The sequence below is a fragment of the Homo sapiens genome, chromosome 6 (genome assembly GCF_000001405.40).
Source record: "Homo sapiens chromosome 6, GRCh38.p14 Primary Assembly".
NCBI lineage: Eukaryota > Metazoa > Chordata > Mammalia > Primates > Hominidae > Homo > Homo sapiens.
The window spans coordinates 33668164-33690344 of record NC_000006.12 but is presented as its reverse complement, the minus strand read 5'-3'; the positions used below and the strand labels follow the sequence as shown (position 1 = coordinate 33690344).

The 22181-nt window shown below is 58.1% G+C and overlaps 1 protein-coding gene across 7 annotated transcripts in view, besides 4 other annotated features; it reads right to left on the bottom strand.

Annotated features, from left to right (window-relative positions):
* Positions 1–22181, bottom strand: part of ITPR3 (inositol 1,4,5-trisphosphate receptor type 3) — a 75241-nt gene that overhangs the window by 6218 nt on the left and 46842 nt on the right. For 6 of the 7 annotated variants that reach the window (NM_002224.4, XM_047418731.1, XM_047418732.1 and 3 more), the window contains 35 exons: positions 21711–21830; positions 21189–21371; positions 19769–20020; positions 19530–19674; positions 19039–19180; positions 18117–18316; positions 16625–16754; positions 16080–16137; positions 14489–14654; positions 13413–13577; positions 13256–13330; positions 12716–12841; positions 11802–11924; positions 11506–11706; positions 10212–10463; positions 9891–10016; positions 9665–9790; positions 7701–7821; positions 6948–7138; positions 6177–6325; positions 5880–5988; positions 5657–5747; positions 5402–5571; positions 4812–4986; positions 4518–4702; positions 4092–4292; positions 3826–3936; positions 3241–3336; positions 3018–3119; positions 2781–2867; positions 2178–2288; positions 1914–2106; positions 1564–1689; positions 935–1107; positions 147–311 (listed from right to left, as the gene is read on the bottom strand). In NM_002224.4, coding sequence (NP_002215.2) covers positions 147–311; positions 935–1107; positions 1564–1689; positions 1914–2106; positions 2178–2288; positions 2781–2867; positions 3018–3119; positions 3241–3336; positions 3826–3936; positions 4092–4292; positions 4518–4702; positions 4812–4986; positions 5402–5571; positions 5657–5747; positions 5880–5988; positions 6177–6325; positions 6948–7138; positions 7701–7821; positions 9665–9790; positions 9891–10016; positions 10212–10463; positions 11506–11706; positions 11802–11924; positions 12716–12841; positions 13256–13330; positions 13413–13577; positions 14489–14654; positions 16080–16137; positions 16625–16754; positions 18117–18316; positions 19039–19180; positions 19530–19674; positions 19769–20020; positions 21189–21371; positions 21711–21830 — 5146 coding nt within the window. Of the gene's footprint in view, positions 1–146; positions 312–934; positions 1108–1563; positions 1690–1913; positions 2107–2177; positions 2289–2780; positions 2868–3017; positions 3120–3240; positions 3337–3825; positions 3937–4091; positions 4293–4517; positions 4703–4811; positions 4987–5401; positions 5572–5656; positions 5748–5879; positions 5989–6176; positions 6326–6947; positions 7139–7700; positions 7822–9664; positions 9791–9890; positions 10017–10211; positions 10464–11505; positions 11707–11801; positions 11925–12715; positions 12842–13255; positions 13331–13412; positions 13578–14488; positions 14655–16079; positions 16138–16624; positions 16755–18116; positions 18317–19038; positions 19181–19529; positions 19675–19768; positions 20021–21188; positions 21372–21710; positions 21831–22181 lie in introns of those variants that run through there. The other variant, XM_017010832.2, reaches the window with a different exon arrangement.
* Positions 16588–17109: an enhancer, noted in NCBI's record as "H3K4me1 hESC enhancer chr6:33641013-33641534 (GRCh37/hg19 assembly coordinates)". NCBI's record gives its function as "activates a minimal SCP1, AML or CMV promoter by ChIP-STARR-seq in primed H9 embryonic stem cells {active_cell/tissue: H9 hESC(primed)}" and the evidence as "EXISTENCE:reporter gene assay evidence [ECO:0000049][PMID:30033119]".
* Positions 20815–21445: an enhancer, noted in NCBI's record as "H3K4me1 hESC enhancer chr6:33636677-33637307 (GRCh37/hg19 assembly coordinates)". NCBI's record gives its function as "activates a minimal SCP1, AML or CMV promoter by ChIP-STARR-seq in naive H9 embryonic stem cells {active_cell/tissue: H9 hESC(naive)}" and the evidence as "EXISTENCE:reporter gene assay evidence [ECO:0000049][PMID:30033119]".
* Positions 21080–21266: a silencer, noted in NCBI's record as "fragment chr6:33636856-33637042 (GRCh37/hg19 assembly coordinates)". NCBI's record gives its function as "represses an EF-1alpha promoter that drives an FKBP-Casp9 reporter gene in an ReSE screen in HepG2 liver carcinoma cells {active_cell/tissue: HepG2}" and the evidence as "EXISTENCE:reporter gene assay evidence [ECO:0000049][PMID:32094911]".
* Positions 21446–22077: an enhancer, noted in NCBI's record as "H3K4me1 hESC enhancer chr6:33636045-33636676 (GRCh37/hg19 assembly coordinates)". NCBI's record gives its function as "activates a minimal SCP1, AML or CMV promoter by ChIP-STARR-seq in naive H9 embryonic stem cells {active_cell/tissue: H9 hESC(naive)}" and the evidence as "EXISTENCE:reporter gene assay evidence [ECO:0000049][PMID:30033119]".

The window sequence follows — 22181 nt, the reverse complement described above, 5'->3', positions numbered from 1 at the left end:
ATGAAGACTCTGTAATTTCACTGCTCCCAGCCCAGCAGCAAAAGGACTGGACAGACAGACTGGTGCCGGGGAACTGCCAACAACTCATGGGAAGCCCCAACCACCCCATGCCCCCATCCAGCCCCAGCCCACCCAGAAGGCCTCACCAGGATGCTGTAGAACAGCTCATGAGCAAAGAGGCCCAGGACACTGGTCAGGATGTAGCCCACGTGGTAGAGGAATTCCATGTCCATGACCATGGCCTTATAGCCCCGGATGAAGGTGCCACGGTTGCCCACGAAGCTCACCACAAACACGATCTTGTTGGTCAGCTGGGGGCGAGTGCAAGGCATGAGAGTCAGCACCCTACCACCTATGCTGAATCTGCACGCATGTCCCCCAGTGCCCAGCTCAGAGCCTGGGAGGCATGGCATTAATGAAATTGCTTCCAGAAACGCATCTAGGCGCCTGGGACTCAGAATACAGAGGCAGCCCCTTGGGTCCTCAGTTCCAGGAAGACAGTGAGGTACAGGCAACGGAGGATGGGGACAGAGAAGACCACTGACTGGCTCTATCAGGGAAAGGTATTCCTCGCTCAAAGCACTTTATTTCCATCTGTCAGGAGATTGTCATTATGTATGAATCTTCACGTCTGCCGCGTAGCAGTGCCTCTGGGCAGTGCACAGCCCGCACAGTGTGCACAGCCACCCTGACCCTGTTGCTCCAAAGGGACTCTTGAATTTCTGTCTCTGAGTGCCAGCTGCCCTCAGGTGTTGAGGGAAAGGAAGAAGGTACAGAACAGTCCCTGCCACCGGTCTATAAGGAACTTGGGAGCCCAACAGAGAGGAGGGGATGGGACAGAGCAGTGGCTCCTGGAAGCAGCAGGCCAGCTTGCCGTCTGAATGCACAGTGAGCATGAGCTTGTTTGGGAATGGGGGCTCCCTCTGGCACTCACATTGAGGGCACCCAGGATGTTGAGTGTGGGCCCGATGCCCAGATAGTAGATGGAGCGCAGGATGAGCGCCACGATGAGGGGGCGGATGCTGTAGCGCTTGGTGAACAGGGCCGCGATGGAGAAGCAGATGAGGATCCAGAAGAGCAATGAGATGAGAGGGGAGTCCAGCACGCCTGGGGGCCAGGGGCAGGGTGAGCAGGGCTCCCTCAAGCCCACCACGGCCCCAGAGCAGGTCCAACAGGTGCCGAAAAGCCACCTTCTCCTGGCCGCCTTCCCGGTTAAGTTCCTGGTGCCTGGTTTTAGCCTCCTCCATTACACCTGCCTCTCAGGCCTAAGCGGGAGGCCCTGTCCGGCTGCGGCTACCAGGTTTTGTTTCTGGCTGACACATCTATGCGTGTGCACGTGCCTGCATGCGCCATCTCCCATGAGGTCAAAGACCCTGACCATCCCCTTTGACCGCACCTGTGTCTCCATGATGGGGCGAGAGCCCACAGGATGGCGCAGGGGGTGCTTCTGCACACTCTGCATCTGGTGCCCTCAGAGGCCAGCTGGCCTCAAGGCTCTGCCCCAACCCAGGGAGGAAGCATGGCAGGGCCCGGGGAACCTGCCGGCCAGCCCTGTGTTCTCACCTGTGGACGCGCCCTCCATGTAAGGGTAGAAGAAGGCAATGATGATGTTGATAAACACGGCCAGGTTGAAGGAGATGCTGCCCCACAGGGTCATGCGGCGGGAGAACCAGTAGATCAGCGGCATGCCTGAAGAGGAGGGCAACGGTGAGCTGCTGGAGGGCCCTGGTGAGCACCCCCTGCCCCTTGCATGTGGGGCCCCGCTCAGGAGGAAGCCACACATGGAAGAGCCCTTCCTTGGGGTGAGGCGGGGTTGGGCGCAGGGCACCCACAGGCAGGCAAAGGAGGCCGTTATAACAGGGCATCAGTGAACAGCTCCAGACCGCCCCACCCTCCCGCCCGTGGGTCCTCACTGCGGAGCTTGCGCTGCCACTCCATCTCGTTGTGCAGGAAGGAGGACTGGTCGAAGAAGTCGCTCACTTTGCTGCCCTGCTCGTCCTGCTCAGTAGTGGTGAAGAGCCGGTGCTTGGTTTCCTCCGTCAGGAACTGGCAGATGCCGGGCACTGGGAACACGATCTGCTCCATGCTGCGGTCCTGCCGCACAATCTGAGCACACACAGCACATGGTCACGCCCGGCGCAGGCTCCCACGCCCGCCCCTGCTGCCCACAGGCCCACCTCGATCTGGGACGTGTGGTTCTCATAGTAGGCCAGGGGGTCTTCCTCCTCCTCCTGTGCTGGCGCTGAGGACTTGAGCATCTGTGACAGCTGCTTGTTGTTGAGGCTGAGCTGGAGGTGGGGAGGGCGCGGAGGTCAGGCCCCAGCCTCCACATCCAGGCTGGCACTCAGCCCCCACCCTCCCAGGCCTTCGCCTAGCTCTGAACTACACTTCAGCGAGTGTCCCCGCCAAGCCAGAGCAGGCCAAGCCCAGCCCAACTAGGACTGAGCCTTGAGAACCTGGTGCCAAAGGGAGGGGAGTGGGAGAGCCATGACCAGAGAATCCCAGAGGATAGCGGGGGCCTCCTCAGTCCTGCCCAAGTGTAGCCCGGGTCCTGCTTGAAGCTTCCAGACCCACCCTAGACCCACCTGAGCCTTGCTTCCATTTCTGTCTGGGTTTCACCCACGGCTGCCAGTCCCAATCAGCCCCCTGAGCTGTACCCCCAAATTCTAGCCTGGCTCATATTCTAGGGCCTCACTCTGTTCCAGGCCACGCCCTTGGGTCAAGTGTCCTCCCTGGGTTCCAGGCCCCACCCCCACCCCAGTCTCGGGGCCAGCACCCACCATGGAAGAGATACCCTCGGCCTCCTCCTCTTGAATGCGCTTCACCGGCTTCAGCAGGTGCTGCAGCTGTTTATTGTGCCTGGAGAGCTGAGGGAAATGGCAGCACAGTCACCAGGGTGTGGTGGCTGGGGGACATGGTGGCTGGGGGGCGACAATGGCGACTGGGGGATGATGGCAGCTGGGGCGGGGTATGGTGGCCAGGGGGGTGATGGCCGTTGCCACGGGTGGAACTGGTACCTGCAGCGCCAGGATATAGATGTTATGGCCCACTTCACGTGGGCTCACCTCCGAGTTCTCACGCTCTTCCTCCTGCAGGTAGGCCTTCTTGATGACGTCCACCTGGAGGGGCAGTGCCTGTTCCAATGCTCTCTTCCTAGGGCGGTAGGGCCAGCCGGGCCCTCATCCCCATCCCAACACACTCCACCTGGTTCCGCCCGCCTGCCCACCTGCCCAGCCTCACCAGCTCCTGGGGCCGCAGGCTGATGAGGATTCGCTCAGCATTTTCACTGTCATGCCGGCTCTCCATCAGAGCCAGGAGCAGCTTGGAGGCATTGTCCTGGGTGGAGGGGCAGAGGGAGGCAGGCCACAGTCTCAGGACACCATGCCCCTGACAACTTCTCCCTCATTCCTCTCCATAACAGCTCTCCCATCCAACAAAAGGTCAGGTGCCATGACCTTCCCATCCTCCCTCCCCCCGGCTTAATGAGAAGCATCCTGCACAGCCAGCCCACCCATAGGCTTGCCTTCACCCCCGCTGTGGCAAACACTCAGCTACCCAGACAGCAGACACACACATAGCAAGTCCTCAGCTAAACCAGAATATATTTGCATCCAGAGTGAGTGTATGTTCCAGCATGCTTAAACATGCGTATATTACACACACACCCTGCACACACCACACACTTGTGCATCCAGATGATGCCCCATCACACAATGCTAACACCCACATTACACACCACTATGTACACTTGACACACAAGTCACACATACATGCATGCACATCACATGCACACCCAGCACTCACACACCTGCCACTGGGCCCCACCTTGAGCTGCAGCACCAGATCCATGCGGTACTTGCACAGGGGGCTGATGTCATTGAGGATCAGTGCGGTGATGATGTCTATGCCATTGGACTCGTGAGTCACAATGCAAGTCTGGCAGGAGGCAGTGGGGGACACAGGGCCCAGGCCCTCTCAGAATAGTGGCAGCTCCAGAGACCTCAGCCTCTCTCCCTGCCCCAGCTGGCTCCATCTACCCACATGTCCACACTGCCACCCTGGCTGCCACTTATGCCACCAGGACAGCTCACCTGGTTCTCATGGCAGGGGCCCTGGCAGTACTCAGTGAGGGTCTCCAAGGTCTGGATGACGAGGCCCACGTTGTCCTCATTGATGTAGAGCCCCAGCAGCCCCAGGCCGCCCGTGGTGCTGCCGCACATGATGTCCAGGAACTGCAGCGTCTCGCATACCAAGTTGTAGTTGGTTTTGTTGTTCTGACAGCGCAGGAAGTTCTGCGGGGCACAGAAGGGTTGGGCACAGCACAGCTACAGCACGGAGAGGGAGGCTGGCCTGGGAAGCACGATCTTGTGTGCTGCAGGGGTAGGGGAACCACCAGCCACAAAGCAGCAGTGCCCAGGGCAGGGCACACCTGCCATAGAGGGACACCAGCCACACTGCCTAGTCTGCATGCCGGCTGGCCAGCGGGGGAAGGGGCAGGTGTGTGGCGAGGCACTCACCTGCAGGTCCCGGTTGTGGTTCTCACACAGCAGCTGCAGAAAGCGCAGGATGGGCTGCATGATGAGCACGGATGTGCCCATCTCACTGCTCTGCACACGTTCGCTCACCTCGTGCCCCCGGCGCAGGCTGGGGCCCAGCGAGTAGCGGGATGAGGAGCCAGGTATCGAGAAGGAGGCCACGCGGCCTGTGGGCGAGACCTGGTGAGGCTGGAGCTGCCCACCCCCTTGGCCACCCCCCTGCACATCTTATCCTGGGATCCCCGTCACGCCGTGCCTCTGCCTCAGACCCCTGACCTTTGGTGGTGGGGTCGACTGGCTCGCGGTCCTCATGTGGCTGGCTGCCCAGGTCATTCATGTTGACTGCCACCGTGGACTTGGTCTCCTGCTGGGCCCGCTTCATGCGGTCGTGCAGCACCTTGAAGAAGCGCTCTGACTTCTTGTCACTCATCATCAGGTTGTGGAAGGATTTCTGGAGGTGGACAGTGGCCAGGGAACAACCTCAGCACTGGGCCCTGCTCCTACTCAGGGCGTGGGGCAGGCACACCACACTGCTGGGGCCGCTGGGGCTGCAGGGGCCTGGCTGCAGGCCTGGGTGCTGGTGGCTAGCATCCATGGCCACCCATGGGCGGCTCCATGCCCCATATCTGCTCCTGTGTCACGTGGTCCTTTCATCACCCCCGCATACCCCTCTGCCCCAGCCAGGCCTGAGCCCGTCTCCTCACCACCCTGCCCCCATCATGCCCACTCTTCTCACCTCTCAGCCACTGCTCAGGCCTCTCCTCTTTCACACCCTCCTCGGCCTTCAGTGCCCAACTCAAGGCCCACCTCCTCCAAAAAGGGAGGGAGGCAAAGGAGGGCATGTCCAGGCCCCAGGCCCCCCACACCTGGATCTCTGTGTTGCCACCATCCAGCAGGTGGATGGCCAGGCCGATGCTCTCCTGGAAGATCTTCTCGTTCTTGGTGCTGGTGATGAGGTCGCATACCAACTTGGTGGCCCCCTCCTTGTCCAGCCGGCACTGGGTGGCTGCGATTGCCGACCAGTCTGGGTCCAGGCCTGGAGGCGGGACTCGGTTGAGGGAGAGCTGGTGTGACAGGAGAGTGGAAGGGAGGGCCCGGGGGCAGGGGAAGGTGATACTGACCAGTGCCTATGGGGTCGGGAAGGTCCCCCCGCGAGGTGGACTTCCGGTTCTGGAGGTAGTTTTGCAGCAGCATCTTGCGCAGCTGGTTGCCCTGGGGGAGGATGGGAGTGAGGCCCCATTGTGGGTACAGCCCACCACTGACCACTGGCCTGACGGGCTTGACCCTGAGCCCCTGGGTACTCCTGACTGGCCCACCCAGCACTTGCCCCACCAGGGCACTCACCCGGTCCCCGTACTTGGTCTTCTTGAGCAGCATCTGCTGCAGGGTCCGCAGCACCTTGATGCACAGCTTCTCCTCCGACTCCATGAGGTCCTTGGTGTGCTGGATCAGCCTGAGCCGGCCAAGGAGGCAGCTCAGGGCAGCCCCACACTGCCTCCCTCCAGCTACTTCCCCACCCCATCCCAGGCAGGAACACCCCCAGGCCCTCTGACCCAGTGAGCCTGTCTAGTCCCCACCGGGCCCTTCTCTGTCCCCTGCCGCTGCACCCCTGCTGCCCCCATGCCCCAGTGTCTCGCTCACTTGGACAGGAAGCCCCCACTCTCGCAGCGCTGGTAGGCCTCACTGCCCTCCAGGAAGAGCAGCTCAGGCCAGTGCAGGACATCCACCAGCACGGACAGCTCAGCCTGTACCAGGGGCTTCAGCCGCTCCTCCAGGGCTGTGATGATGTCCTGGGGTGGGCAGGGCAGAGTCATTGCCAGGCCCAAGAAATGACCCGGGTGTGACTGCCATTCCTCCGACCCAAACGCCAAACAGCCCCACAGATTGCCCTGCCTCTGTCTGAGGGGCCCACACCCACAGAGACACCCTGAACACAGCGTGATGTCTGTCTGCTCAGAGCCCTGGCTGGGAGCTGCCAAGCCTGGCTTCTCTCCCAGCTCTGTGTGACCTTGGGCAAACCCCTTAGCCTCTCTGAGCCTCAGTCTCCTGCCACGTGGGGAAAATAATCCACCACACCCCCTCTACAGGCCAACGAGACAGCGCACAGAAATGTGCTGCATAGACAGGAGGGCGCTGCAGGAGTGAGGGGTGGTCCCGACCCCCTCATGAGCTCCAACCCCACTAGCAGGCCTCTGGGTTCTCCAGGCTTCCTCTGGAAGGAGGTTCCCCAGTCCCTTGCTGCTGGGTCGGCCCTTAGCAGCCCCAGAGTGTAGAGAAGCCAACCAGCCCCTTCCTGGAAGTGTGGGCAGGACAGGAAGAAACACTCCCCGAGAACTTGCCCCTCCAAAGTAGGGGAGCTGCTGACTCAACCAAGCAGCTCCCGAGGCAGATGCCAGGCAGCCCCACACCCACCTGCAGCTTCTCAATGATGTTCTTGTAGTCCCACTGGTTGGCGGTGGGGGTGACGCGGGGGAAGGCCCGCGTGGTTGCCTTGTAGCTGGAGGCGTTCCGCTGGGCGGCAGCTGCACAGCTGGCTCCACTGCTGAGCATCGAGCTGATGTGGGCATCCAGGTCCATGGGCAGCAAGATGGCCCGGCCCTTGGCTGGGTGGGAAGGGAGGGAGTGCTGGAGTGCTGGTGCGGGGGCAGTTCAGCCAGCCAGAGGCCAGGCTCAGGGCTGCCACACCAGGAGACAGAGTGAACTAGACCAAGGGTCTGGGAGACAGAGACCCCCCCCACCCCGGCCTATGCTTGAGGGACTGAGAGGCTTTCTTCCCCTTGTTGGGTAAAAGGAGTTTCTGCCTCTTTGATTCCCCCCGGCTCTACCCTGACTTCCCCTTCCTCTCTCTCACCTGTCCTCTCTTCTTCCCCAACTGTCCCTAACAATCCACAGGCCTGCTCCTGCCTGAGCCCATCTGCAAATACCCATAAAAAACTAGCTGGAGAATGTCGGCGAGCATCCTTCTCTGGGGAACTGACCCAGAGGAGAAAACAGCTTCTCTCAATTGCCAGGATGAGGCAGACGCCAAGAAGAACTTACTGACAACCACCTGGGAGCAGGAGATGGGCGAGCTTAGGGATAAAGTGTTTATTAGGAGGGCAGGCGTCCCCACTGTGAGCGGCAGGAGGAGTGGTTTGGGGCTGGCCAGTGCCCCGGCACACTCACCCACCATGGCGAGGGTCCGGATGCAGGCCTCCACGGAGCCCTTGTGCTGCTGCTGTAGCCACGGACACTCGAGGAGGCGTGTGGTAGACTGCAGCAGCTGCACCACAATCGTCTGGTGTGTCTGCAAGAAGTCACAGAGCCCGCTGCTGCAGCCCAGGCCCCCACCCTGGGCAACCCCAGGTCCAGGAACCAGGGCCCAATCAGAATGGGCATGGGTGGAGAGACGGAGCCTTCACTAGCCACCATGTGCCTCTGTGCCAGTTGGAAAAAGGTACTTGTATTCCCTTCAGCAGTGCACGACCTGCCCAACTGTACACGGCAGCCCTGTAACTCACCAAGGCCGTGGGCTCATAGCCATGTTGCTGACCCTTTTAAAAAATGTTTAAAAAAATTAATGTCATAAAAAGGTGATGGATTTACATGGTTGAAAAACCAAAAGGTTATTTAAAAGATAACACTTTGAGGCTGGGCGCAGTGGCTCACACGTGTAATGTCAGCACTTTGGGAGGCCAAGGTGGGTGGATGACTTGCGGTCAGGAGTTCGAGACCAGCCTGGCCAACATGGTGAAACCCTGTCTCTACTAAAAATACAAAAATTAGCCGGGCGTGGTGGCGGGTGCCTATAATCCCAGCTACTCAGGAGGCTGAGGCTGGAGAATTGCTTGAACCTGGGAGGCAGGGGTTGCAAGTGAGCCAAGGTTGTGCTACTGCACTCTAGCCTGGGGCACCAAGTGAGACTCCGTCTCAAAAAAAAAAAACATAACACTTTGAGAAGTCTCTCCCCCATCACCCTCATTGCCCTGGAGCTGATCAAGGATGGGGAAAGCTGATATCAATTACCAGAGTTCCATCGTCCCAATGCGATCCCAGGGCCCAAACAATGTGTGTCAAAATACACCACCCTTCCTGAGAAGGCAGGACTCAGCATTTTTCCCCCCAGACTTAGAAGCACGATCCCACCCCACCCCAGCTCCTATGCCCCTAGGTAGCCCCTTTTGTGGGTTTCTTTTGTATCCTTCCAGTGTTTCTTTGATTTCGGTCATGTAGCAGGGCCCTTCCTTAAGGGAACCTGGCTCGCTTTCATTCAGGGGGGCTCTGGGCTGAGCACTGGCTCGAGTCTGGGAATCTGGGGATTGACCAAGGAGCCATGAATCTTTCGAGATTCAAATCAGGCTTCTGTACACTGGCCTGGAGCCCTTCTGCTTAGGCCTTCAGAAGGCTGCCTGCCTATTTCAGTTCTAAGATCACTATGATCAACTAGCCAGCACGAAGGATCCTGCCAGGGAGACTGTCGTGATCCCTGCTTTGGCTGTACCATCCCATGGATGGCACGTCTGCCTTATCTTTGGTGAATAAGTGCTGCCACTCCGGGATCCGCCCACCCACTGGAGTTAGGAGTTCCTGCTGGATGGTACCATTCCCACCGTCATTCTGGCCCACAGAAACTGAGATAGCGAATGCTTGTTGTTTTAACTGCTAGGTTTGGGGATAATTTGTTAACACGGTATAGATAACTAATATACTTAGGCCGGGCGCGGTGGTTCACACCTGTAATCCCAGCACTTTGGGAAGCCGAGGTGGGCGGATCATGAGGTCAGGAGATTGAGACCATCCTGGCTAACACGGTGAAACCCTGTCTCTACTAAAAATGCAAAAATTAGCTGGGCGTGGTGGCGGGCACCTGTAGTCCCAGCTACTCGGGAGGCTGAGGCAGGAGAATGGCGTGAACCCAGGAGGCAGAGCTTGCAGTAAGCAGAGATCGCGCCACTGCACTCCAGCCTGGGCGACAGAGTGAAACTCCATCTCAAAAAAAAAAAAAAAAAAGATAACCAATACACTTATGTATCCTTTTGTTACTTCTTTCTGTACTATAAGCAAATATAAATATGTATTCTTATTTCCCCCCTTCCCTTCACAAAAGCTAGGCAAGTCGGCCCTGGGGTGGTGGGAGAGGAGAAGCTCACCTGCAGGGAAGTGCTGTTCTCAGAGAATGGGGAGCTGAAGAAGGCGTTGATGGTGTCCAGCACAACGCTCAGCACGTACTTCTCCAAGGTGGGGTCAGCCACGCGCTTCTCACGCTTGCTGCAGACCTGAGGCAGGAGAGAGGGATGGCTGGGGGCTCCTCACATGGGGCCCCTCCACTCCCACACCTCCTGGGGGGCTTCACCCACACCCCTCACAGGGACAGACCCGGGCCATGTCCAGGGTGAAGTTCTCAAAGAGCGTCCAGATGTGGTTGCTGGTGTAGATCTCCTTCATCTCCACCTCCGTGTCCACGTAGCAGTGGTTCACGAAGTTCACATAGGCCATTTTCACCTGGGCAGTGGGCGGGAGGTCAGGGGCGCAAGCAGGGCCGCCTGGCCAGGCTCTCCCTGCCACAATGCTCCTGTCCCCTGGCCTCCGGTTCCTGCCCACTTCCCTGGCTTTGCTTCACCCACTCTTCCTGTCCCGTGGCTTTACCCACCCCTTCGCCCCATCTCCAGCCGTCTTGCCCAGTCTCCCGATCCCCACCTCAGTGATGCAGTCCTCATGCGTCACCACAGACACCACGTCCTCCAGCGGCAGCAGGGAGGTGCACTTGATCTCAGTGTAGACGTTTTTGCCCTCGGCACAGGCGGCCAGCAGGTCCACCAGGGAAATGTGGTACATGAGGGGGCTGTGGTCCTCCACGCCGTCGCGGGCGGCCTTCATCATGTCCAGCAGGTGGGCCAGCGATGCCTTATCATTGTAGAACACGACCACATCGTCACCTGCATTGGTCAGCTGCGGGTGGGAGGGGGCACGTGTCACACTCTCTCGGTCCAGCAAGCCCTGGGCTCTCCTCTCCGTTGCTTACCAGGGAGAAACTGGGACTCTGACCACAGCCCTTACCTGAAATCAGGAAAACCCTCCCCTGGCTGGGATTTGGGGGTTCCCCAGCTGATGTCTCAGGCCCTCTGCCAGCAGAGATATTGACCCCATGACCCAGAAAGTCCCCGCTTCTCCCCACTGGAAAGAAGTCCCATAGGGGTCATCTCAGAGGCAGCTTCCTCCAGGAAGCCTCGCTAATCCCGCCTTGCTCACCCCCTCCCTCCCCTGTGCTCCCGCAGCAGTTACTTAAACCCTCCTCACTGAGCACACACCTCTCGTGCCAGCGACTGCATTATTCGCAGTAATATAATAATAGAAATTAATAAAACTAACACTGTACAGCAGTTCCAGCACATCATGTCTTGTTTATGATGTCCTAATCTCCCTTCAGTGTTTGCTTCTTTCTCCCCCTGCCGCCTACACTGTCAGATGCTCAGGGGCAGGGACCACGTCTGTTCCAGATTTAGACTCAGCCCTGTATCCTTCGTGCCTTCACTCAACAGGTGTCTGTTGAGAACCTACTATGCGCCACACACTGGGGCCCTGGCGATGCACACAAAGGATGGGGTCCCTGCCCGTGCCCCCCAGGAGCTGACACTCAGCTGATGTCCCCCATGCATGTACAGTCCGTGGCACGTAGCAGGTGCTTCCTGATTTTAAATAAACGACGACAAGTGACAAGGAATGCATGCTTGATTTCTTTCTGGCCTGTTGTCTGAGTTCTGCTAGGTGCCTGATGCTACTGGGACCCTGCTTGAGTTCTATCAGGCCCACAGGCTGAGTTCTACCACATCTGCAGCCTCACTTCTCCCTCTGCGTCCCCTCCATGGTCAGCAGCTGAGTGTTCCTTTTGTGACCCACCGTCTGACTTCTCTAACTCTGTGGCCTTCCCGCCAAGCCTCTGCTCCGGTCCCCCACCCCAAGATGCCTGAGCACCCCTCAGCCCCGCCCTCACCTCAGTCATGATCATGTCCTGGCACTTCTTGACGTACTTGCCCTCGGCCTTAATGACGGTGTGCAGGAAGTCCAGGTACTGCACATGGCGCCCGTGCGTGGCCAGCAGGTGCACGAAGTGCTGCAACACAGGCTCGCTGATCTCGGAGCAGAGCTGATAGTTGTTCAGGAAGATGTGCTGCATGGTCTCTGCCTCCAGGAGCTGCAGTGGGGGGCATCTGTCAGAAAGAGATCTGGGCCCCGCCCCCACCCCCCATCCCCCGCCTCGTCCAGGTGCTCCCAGCCCTGCACCCTCACCCCTGGCGTGAGGAAGAGGTGCAGGTGTTTGTGCAGCAGGGCCTGGTTGCCGGGGTTCCCTGCACAGAACTTCTGCAGGAACTGGTGCGTGTAGCGCAGGATCTCCATCATCTTGGCATCACCCTGGACACAGGAGTCAGGGAGAGGGTGCTGGGCCCACCAAGGAGGGAGGCGAGGCCCTGGCTGAGCTCTGACAGGAGCAGGGGTGGGTCGGGCTTGGGACTGGGACCGTGAAGAGGCCAGCGTAAAGGGAAAGTGGGGCCCCCAGGTCAGGATGGAAATGTGTGAGGGGCGGGAGCTCAATGGCCAAGATGAGGCTGGAGTTGGGGCAAGGTGAAGTGTCACGGTCAGCGTCAAGGTGAGGCCTGGGACATACTGAGATCAAGATCAGTCATGGCAAGGGGCTGAGGGTCAAAAGGGGAGATGAGACTAAGATTGGAGTCAGGAGCCAGGGTGGGCCTGGGGACAGGTCAGCATAAGATGTCAGGATGAGGAATCAAAACCAGGGGTCAGGACAAGGCCAGCATTGATGTCATGGGTCAAGGAGAGGTTGGGTTCAGTTAGGGTCAACATGGGTCAAGGTAAGGAAGCTGAGGGTCAAAGGTTGAGATGAAGCTGAGATTATCAGGGTTAGGCTGGAGAGGGGGAAGAAAAGGGAGTCAAGGTCAAGAATCAGCATAAGGCTGGGGTCAAATCAAGGTCAAAGGGAATTAGGATGAGGGGTAGAGGGTCAAAGGTTGAACCGATACTAAGACAGGGTTCAGGGGTCAAGGTGTGCCTGCAAACAAACAGGGCAGTGTAAGAGGCCAGGCGAGGCTGGGAGAGGTTGCCTGCATTAGGGCCTAGCATACAGGTCAGGCCGGGGTTCAGGGGGAAGCCACCCTGGGGAGTCAGAGGTCAGAAGTCAGAGCCACCTTGTCATAGGGGATCTGCAGCAGGTCCAGCATGACCTTGTGGGCATCCATGTTCTTCAGCAGCCGTTGCTGCTTCTTCCTCATTTGCTCCCCAACCCCGCACATCTTGTTCAGCCTTTCCAGGATCTGCAGGGGAGGCGGGTGAGCCAGAGCCCCTTCCCTACTTCTCAGGCTGCCCTCTGCCCAGCCCACCACAGCCAAGTTCCAGCTGGCACCCGGGACAGGAAGGGGGAAGGAGGTCACAGGCGCTGAATCAGACCCTTGCAACAGGCTAGGGAAGCACTAAAAAAACCAATTCCACCCATAAAAGTAAATAGAACAATATGACTGTGAAATGGAATTTCATGGAATTCCTTCGGCTTTAAAATAATTCCATCTGGACCTTGGCAGGGCTGTTTTTAATGTGCAGCAAAGGCTGAAAGATGTCTCTTGTGAGGGCCAGTGGCCAGCACAGGGAGAGGCACAGGGGGCCGGGCCAGCGGGAGCCCCCAGGACCACTGGGGCTGCAGATCCCTACCCCGAGGACCCTTGGCCACTCACGCCCTTGACGATCTGGTAGTTCTCACTGCTTTTCTCCCCTGGTGGGTGCAGAAAGCCCTCCTCGTCCGTGGGACGCTGAAAGCAGAGAGAGGAAGGAGATCAGCCAGGCCCAGCCCTCACAGGGAGGCCTGCCCTGGCCCCCTGGAGCCCCACTTACCTCTTTCTTGTCCTTGGCGGCGCCTGCCTCCACCTCCTCACCCTTGCCACTGCCCTTCTTGTCCACCCACAGCTCTGACTTCTCCACCATGGTCCGCAGCCGGTCCAGCTCCGACTTGATCACCTTGTAGTTCTCCACGTCCTGCGCTGAGATCAGCAGCTGAACCTGAAGGTGGAGGATGGGCCTGGCTGGTGAGATGGGCTCCAGGTCCATGCCACTTAGAGACCTCCAGCACCTTCCTTACTCTAGGGTTCCCCTCCTGTAGACCACCACCTGTCCCTCTCCACCGAGCCGATTCCCACTCAATGTTTCTGGCTCTGCCATAAGCCCACCACCTCCAGGAAGCCTTCCCTGCTGGCCACAGGCCTCCCTGCACTGCCTGCCCTGAGCTGCCACATAACCTGGCTTCAGTTACTCACTGACTAGTGTCACATGTGGCTGTGGTCTGTCACTTATCCACTGAGACCCCAAACAGGCAGGGCAAAACATATTGGCAGCCCTGAACCCTGAAAGACCCAGGCCTGCGTCTGACTGCCACCATCCTCGCTCTGGGTCTGTGGGCAATGGAGGAAAGCTCCCTGGGCCTGGATTTCTCCCCGCTCTGGAATGGGAGGGAGAGTAGTAACCTCACTGTCAGGGCTGCTGTGAGAATGCCATGCGATAATGCAAGTCCAGTACTCAGTGCCTGGTACATGGCAGGCACTTATTTTTTTAAAGGCCAACGCCGACTGGTATTGATATTTCACAGGGAGCTGTCGGGACTGCGTGACATCACAATAGCAAATGCCAGTCACGTCAGTGAGGGTTGTCTGCATGCTAGGCATGATTCAAAGCATTTAGCATAGGTGCATATAATAGTTTGCAAGCTGTAAAGTGCTGTCCACATCATAAGAAATGGCAGGCACTGAGCCAGGCCAGGAGACTCAGTCTTCACCTAGGAACTCAGCAAGGCTGAAAACCCCAAATGGGCATCCCAAGTTACCCCTTGAGCTGTGAGCTCCTCAATCATCGTTTACTGTCCCCCCGTGCCTGGTGCAGGCCTCATGCTCAGGGCCAGGGCCAGGTAGTCCCGTCACCTGCTTGAAGGTGTGCATGGCCTCCTGGCGCTGGCTGAAGTGCTTGAAGAGCAGCTGCAGGGCACCCGAGACCAGCGGCGCATAGTCGTGCATGGTGAGGTGGATGAGCACGCGCAGGAACATGCGGCCGCCCTCGTCATCCACCTCCAGCATGCTGCTTGTCTTCCTGCGGGCACAAGGGTGCAGGGCGCATGGGTGAGACTGGCACACTCCCTGCTGTCCGTGGTGGGTAAGGGGCCCTGGCACAAGCACACTCTCCGCCACCCAATTAGCAGATGCAGGGCCAGTCTAAATGTGTTTAAAATATTGACACTTTCTCAGCAGTTTAACAGCCACTCCCCTGAATCTCCGGAGTGACCCGTGTCTCCTGGGATCTCTCGGGACTCCCCTTGATTAAGCAACTGAAGCAAGGACTCTTTTTTTTTTTTTTTGAGACAGAGTCTTGCTCTGTCACCCAGGATGGAATGCAGCCAGTGGCATGATCTTGGCTCACTGCAACCTCCACCTCCCGGATTCAAATGATTCTCCTGCTTCAGCCTCCTGAGTAGCTGGAATTACCAGTGTGTGCCAACACACCCGGCTAATTTTTGTATTTTTAGTAGAGACAGGGTTTCACCATGTTGGCCAGGCTGGTCTCGAACTCCTGACCTCAAGTGATCTGCCCACCTCGGCCTCCCAAAGTGCTGGGATTACAAGCATGAGCGACCACACCTAGCCAGAAACAAGGACTCTTAACACAGATCCCACTGCCACCATGCGGGGGATTCATGGATAGAAGCGGGGCCCATGAACAGAGATGGAGAAAATGTTACATCTTTATTTTTCCCAACCTCTAACCAAAATACAGCATTTCCTTCAGTGAGGAAATATTTGTGGCACCTGTAAGTCTGTCACCAATAAATATAACAGATGTTTTCACATCACCTCAGAGTTGTTAAATCACAAAATATCGTTTATATTCGTCGCTGCCTTGAAGTAGTGGTACTAATTACACCCACCAGTGCAGCTCGCTACTTTACGTATTAGTAAAGAGGCACATACATAACTGTCACTACTAATTTGTTTTCTCCAATATTTTGATAACTCGCTCCAAGCCACTGGTTCCCTTTGTCTTGTTATGTGCTTTATTTTATGAGTTTACAATCACCATTCTGAAAAGCAGTCCATAAGCCCTGCTAGACCCAGGCACAAGCCTGGCCCCAAGATGCTAAAAGCCCCCAGTGAGCCTCTGCCTCCAGCCCCTCAGGGCTTCGGGTGGATGGGATGCATGTCCCCACACTTCCGCCCTGCTGTGGGACTGGGGACGTTGTTCCAGCTGTCCAGCTACCTGACTCAAGTCCACTGCACAAGAGAGGCACACCTGCCCTGAGTAGGGGTGGAAGAATGACGGGATGACTGGGAACCAAAGGGCCCCCCAGATCTCTGGGACTGGGGAGGCAGGGGAGGGGCTGAGCACAAAGCCCGGTGAGGGTCTGCAGAGGGAATGGCAGAGAGGAAGAGCCAGCCCCCAGCCCAGGAACCCAGACCAGACCAAGAGGGGGTGTCGAGCCTCCCAACCCCACACACCCCTGCAGCTCAACCCTGGCCTCACCCCACTCCAAACATGGCCTCCGCCTGCTCCCCGATGCGATCCAGGTTCATGTTGGCAGCTGTGGGGAGAGGGGCAGATGGAAGCAGATTGTAGGCCCAGCCCGGGAAAGAGGGGAGCACAGGGAGACACTCAAACCACCCTCTTCCCTGCACTGGCTGCACAGCAGCTGCTCTGCCTGCCCCTTTCTGGGAAGGAACCAAGTAGGGGAGGAGCCACAGCCCCCTACTCCCCTGCAGGGCAGTACAAAGGGGGCAGAGATCCAGGCTGGGAGTCAGGAGACCAGATCCCGGTCTGGCTCAGCCTCTGACTGGCTGTCACCTCGAGCAAGTCCCTGCTGTTCTGTGAGCCTCAGTTTCCCCATTTGGAAAACGAAGGGAAGGATCCCTGCCCTTCCCCCTCACTGAGGCAATTAAATGAGACAGTGGAAAGAAAAGGCCTTTGCAGACTAGAAAAAGGAGCAGGGCTGAGGAGCTGGCTCCACCCCACTGCTGTGTATCCCTGGGAGAGTCGCACAGCCTCAGCCTGAAGGCAGGGCAGGGGCTTACTGGTAGAGTCGAAGGCAGGGGCTGTGCCATCAGCCCCACTGTCCTGCATGGGAAACACCTCCACAAACTCCTTCTTGAAGACAGACAGCAGGTAGGATATGCGGTAATCCAGGCGGACATTGAGGATGAACTGGAGAAGAGAGGAAAGGTCAGGTGAGGATGGGGTGAGGACTGATCTGAGGTCAGAAGGCCCTTCCTACTTTATGGGGGGCAGGGGGCAGGGAGCCCCCAAATAGGCTCTAGCACTTGGGGCAGCAGGGTCCTCAGCACAGTCATTTGGGATGCTCCAGGATGTCACAGCAAGAAAACAAGACCCCTCTCCCCAGGCCCAGGGTGCCCTCTCCCCAGCTCCTGCCCCAGTGATGGAGTATGAGGGCCTCCTCTCAGCATGAGGCAGCGAGCACCCCTGCGCCCGGCCCACTCAGTCCCTCTTTCCCAAGCTAGACACTGACAGGAAGGGGAATGAAGCCCCCAGGTCCAAAAACTGACTCTTGTCCTCCTATCCTGCTCAGCCAAACAGACCCTGGATACTCATGGGAGGGGAAACTGAGGCCTGTGAGGGAGGAGGAGAGGCTACTGTGGGGCAGACGTGAGGATGCAGGGCTTGCAGACATGGGTGAGTCACACAGTCTCATGGGGCACTGAGCCTTTGGCCAAGCCCCAGGATGCAGACATGGAAGGCCCAGCCCTCAGAATGAGTCAGAAGCTCCCTCCACTCTGACCGCCAGAGGTCCCCCACGGAGGTCACTGCACTACCCTTCCTGCCCTCCGGTGACAGCAAGGCAAAAGCAAGCATCCTCATCCCTCCTCGGGGATGAGCCCCTTCCTGGGGTGTGGCTGGGGAGTCTCAGATGAGACCACAACAGGGATGACTGCATCCACCTTGCCAAGAAATAGGTTCTTAAATCTCTAGCTCTGCTTCAAAATCCCTGTGACCTTGGGAAAGCACCCCCCGGCCCCCGCTTTTACCTCCCCGCTTTTACTTTCCCCATCTGTAAAATGGGAGAATTGAACTAGACTTCAGTGCACCTCAGAATCACCTGGAGGGTTTGTCACAACACAGCCCACAGGGCCCCTCTCCAGTGTTCCTGACTCAGTAGGTCTAGGGTGGGGCCGGAGAATGTGCATTTCTGTTTTTCTTTTTATTTATTTATCGTTATTACTATTTTTTTTAATAGAGACGGGGTCTCACCCAGGCAGGTCTTGAACTCTGAGCTCAAGCAGTCCTCCCACCTTGGCCTCCCAAAGCACTGGGATTACAGGCGTGAGTCACTGCGCACAACCGAGAATGTGCACTTCTAACAAGCTCCCAGGTGAGGCTGGCCCAAGAACCACACTGTGGGAACCGCTGGGCCTGACAGCCAGTCACGATGGAGACTTCCAGTACTAAATACTGAGATCTGAAGGGGTTCGCCCTGCCCAGCCTCCCTGTACCCGCCCCATTACCCTCCCCCTATACCCAACACCTCCCACACGGTCCTGGCCCAGGCACCTGAAGGATTTCCAGGATCTTCAGCTTGGTCTCCATCACCACAATGTCCTCATTCTCCTCAAACTTGCTTCTGTCCAGCGGCTCAGCAGCACTGGCCCCAGCAGACAGGCTGGGGGCACTGAAGACGGACTGCTTGCGGCTCAGCACCATGGTGGACATCATGTGCCCCACGCCCTGGATGGACCGCCGCACATTCTTGCCTGTGGAGGGGGAAGCAGAGGAGGTTGCCAAGGAGGTTGTAGAGGCTGTACACAGGGGTCCCTGGTCTGATGAGGGAGGCAGAGGATGCATAATCTGTTTATGTCAGCTGCAGGGCAAAGCCTTGCTAAGGAAGGGACAGGGCTAACCCAGGAAGGCTTCCTGGAGGACATGAGCTTTAAGCAAATCTGGGAAAAGAAGGAGGTGTCAGGGCAAAGGTGAGCTGTGTGGGGAGATGACTGAGAATTTTCTGTAGGAAACCATGAGAGCAGCTACACAGCCTGGGGGCTGAGAGGACACTGCGGGGAGGACAGCCCCGAAAACCAGTGCCAGGCTCTAGGCACCTTTTGTTTAGATGACTTTATGCAGCCTGGGAGTGTCTGGGAGGGCAGGGCTGCCGCTCAACCCTCAGACAGGCTGTGCCTCCCTCCTCCTCACACACACGATGACAGAGCTGTCTCGCTCCTCCCTCACTATCTCCCCTCAAGACCAAGCAGGGTTGGAAGGCAACTCCCACAGACCCGGGGTCTCCAGGGAGTCCGGGCAGGGACCCCTCTGGTCCTGCTGAGGTGGGAGGGGCTTGGGCCCAAGATATCCCCTTGAGGCAGAGCCAGGTTGGGTGGGGGGAATGCGGGGCTGGGGAAGGTGTTGATCTGAGGGAACTTCCTGTGCTAGGAGGAGGCTGAGGACCACCAGGGTGGCCCGAGCCGGGCAAAGGCCTCACCACCGGGGTCCTCATAGGCCTGCAGCATGGCCGGGGGCCCCTGCACACAGTCGATGATGCCCAGCAGTGTGCGAGTGAGCCGCAGCAGCTCGCTGAAGCTGTAGAAGCCGAAGTAGATGAGATTGTGCGCCAGGCTGACCACCTGCGAAGGGGGCGTGGCCGAGGTGAGGTGGGAGGGGCCGGCGCGTAGGGGCGGGGCTTCGTGGAGGGCAGGCCAGGACTGGGGAAACTAGGGCGAAAGGGGCGTCATGAGGACGGGGTTCCCAGGAGGGAGAGCGGAGCAGGGAGAGGCAGCCCTTTCCCAGGCATTGGAACAGGAGCCTGCCTCTTGGAGAATCCCAGCCTTCTATGCGGTCCCCCTGCACTGGCTGGGGACACAGAAGGAAGTGGGGTCATGGATCCCACAGCCGACTCCTGGGTGAAGACCGAGGCCAGTGTGGGGCCAACAAGAGCTCCACGGACCCCCAGCCCCTGGGCACTCCCCCAGCCACCTCAAAAGTGAGCTTGTTCTTCTCCTCGTTGGCAAAGGGCACGGCCTCGCTGACTACATTGTTGAGGTAGTCCTCCACGAACTCCATGGTGTTGGCAAACTTGTTCTTCTTGTCATCTCGGGACGCGTTGAGGTTGGAATCATAGCTGAGGGTGGAGGCCATGAGGCATGAAGGTCCCCGAGATACACCCACTCCAGCCTCTGCCCCTGCCCCGCCCACCCTGCCTCCACCCCTCTCACTCCTTGATGGTGATGGCTGTGGGGATCTCAGTCCAGAGACGGGCAAACTTGACCGGCGTGACCAGCTCCTGGGGGTCACGGTCCACGTGCACGTGCAGCATCAGGTGGCAGAAGGAGGCGCGCAGGTCAAAGGGCAGCATCTCGTCTGCCATGCACAGGAAAATCAGGTCCACGCCCAGCTGCTGGGAGATCTCGTCGATGGCCAAGTACTGGCGGTCCAAGCACATGCGGGCAAAGAGCTTCAGCTGGTACCTGCAGGACAGGGAGGACTGTGAGGACACGGCAGATGGCAGCCGGGAGGCTGCTGGCACTGGGCACTAGACTTGGTGAGGACTCAGTAAAGTGGCAAAGGGATTAGGTTAAAGATGCGCCAGCTGCAATTCTGAGTTAGAAAGGTGAACGGAAAACCTGTCTGTGATAACCAGTACTTGCAATTCTCCCCCTCCTGGCTAAGGCTCAGCCAGGACAGGTCTTCATGGGAAGAGGGACGTCTGAAAGATGAGGGAAAGGGTGGGAGACAGGGGAGGGCAGTGAGATGAGAAGAGCCAGCCTTGGCCAGGGAGGGTGAGGGCAAGATGGGAGAGGGAGGAGGGGGAGGTGGGGAGGTGGTGAAAGGGGTGCAACCTTGATAGAGGGGATACCAAAATGAGGAACGTGGGAAGCTCTGTGCTGCCCTGGCAATACCAGGCCCTCTGCCTCCTCCTCACAGACATGACTTCCTGGGGGCTCTGGAGCCAGATAGCCTGGGTGTGGGCCCTGGCTCTCTACTGATGGCTGTGTAACCTTGGGCAAGTTCCTTTACCTCTCTCTGCCACTGTTTCCCCAGCTTTACAACAGGAGTAACTATAGTAGCTACAACAAGGGTTGTCATGTGGCTCAAATGAAGGATCAGGACAAGTGCTTAAAAAAGTGCCCACTACGTGGCAAGCATTGTAAGAAGGGCGTCTAAAGAGATTATTATGATGATGATTTGTTTTTTTGAGACAGAGTCTTTCTCTGTAACCCAGGCTGGAGTGCAGTAGTGCGATCTTGGCTCACTGCAACTTCCGCCTCCCAGGTTCAAGCGATTCCCATGCCTCAGCCTGCCAAGTAGCTGGGACTACAGGTGTGCACCACCATGGCTAGCTAATTTGGTGAGATTATTTTAATAATATACATGTTTGAAAACAGTCTGGGTTTCTTTGAAGCCTGGTTCCTGTGCCGAGCCACCCAGTGCTATTCGGGGCACACAGTCCTCTTCACTCAGCCTTCCTGGAATGAGGCTTCGTGGCAGGGGAGTGACAGCAGGGACTCCGCTTCTGAGGAGGCAGGAGCCCCACCTGAGGCTGTCAGAGCTCATCCTCAGCAGGGATTGACTGACGGCCTACTGAGAAGGCCCAAAGGCACAGGAAGAGGGAGGGGAGGAGCTGGGGCGGGGCACCTGTAGTAGCTGAGCACATTCTCGTCGTGGGCGTTGCCGGCCCGCGCCTCCTGGGCCAGCTGCCTCACACTCTTCTCATGATGCTCGTTATTCTTGTCAGTCCACGTGAGCCACACTTCCTCTTCTGAGTACTCGATGCTCAGGTACTCGTGGGATTGGGCCATCTCCTTCACGGGCCGAAGCCTGCAGACCACCAGCAACCTGTCACAGGGAGCCAGGTCCAGGGCACTACGCCTGGACCCCTCCCTGAGCACACCCGGCCACACAGTGCCAGCCACCACGGGGACCCAGAGAGACCATATGCATCTCAAGGGCAGGGTCCGTGGCTCATTCTTTTCTGTGCCCCTTCCCCACTCCCCCACAGTGCCAGGCACACAGCGGGGCACATAACAGGCACAGAGTTCACAGCTGCAGAGAGCAAGGGTGCCAGTTCCAGCCTGAACCCAGACAGGGCCTAAGCTCTAAGACAGCTGGGGGTCAGCAGCGTGGAGCCCAAGTGCGGGCAGGGGGCACAGGGCTCACTCGGTCCGGATGAGAATGTCACTGTTCTTGGGGTCCAGCACACACTTGCAGATGAGCTCTTGGGTGACGGGGATGGCGATGTGGTTGGACACACACAGGTCAGAGAGGTAGTCCAGGAACCTGGGGTGGTGACAGCCAGCGGTGGGAAGAGGGTCTCAGAGGCTGGTCCCTCTAAGGACAGAGCCCACCCTTCCCCTTCCCCAGCTGGCAGCACCGCCACCCTGGAACTAGCTCCCTCCCAAGGCTTAGAGATGGGTGGGATGGACTCCCAGCTCCCCAAGGAGGGAAAGCCCCAGGGCATCACCCTGGGGTCCGGGAAGGCTAGATGGGGGTTCAGACGGACAGGGTGAGGAAGCGCAAGGGCCGAGGTGATATTCAAAATATTTAACAACTGGTTCAATACAGGTTCTGACTTTGTCACTGGAGAAGGTCTTGGGGGCCTCTAGTGGTACAAGGAGTCATTCCCATTGT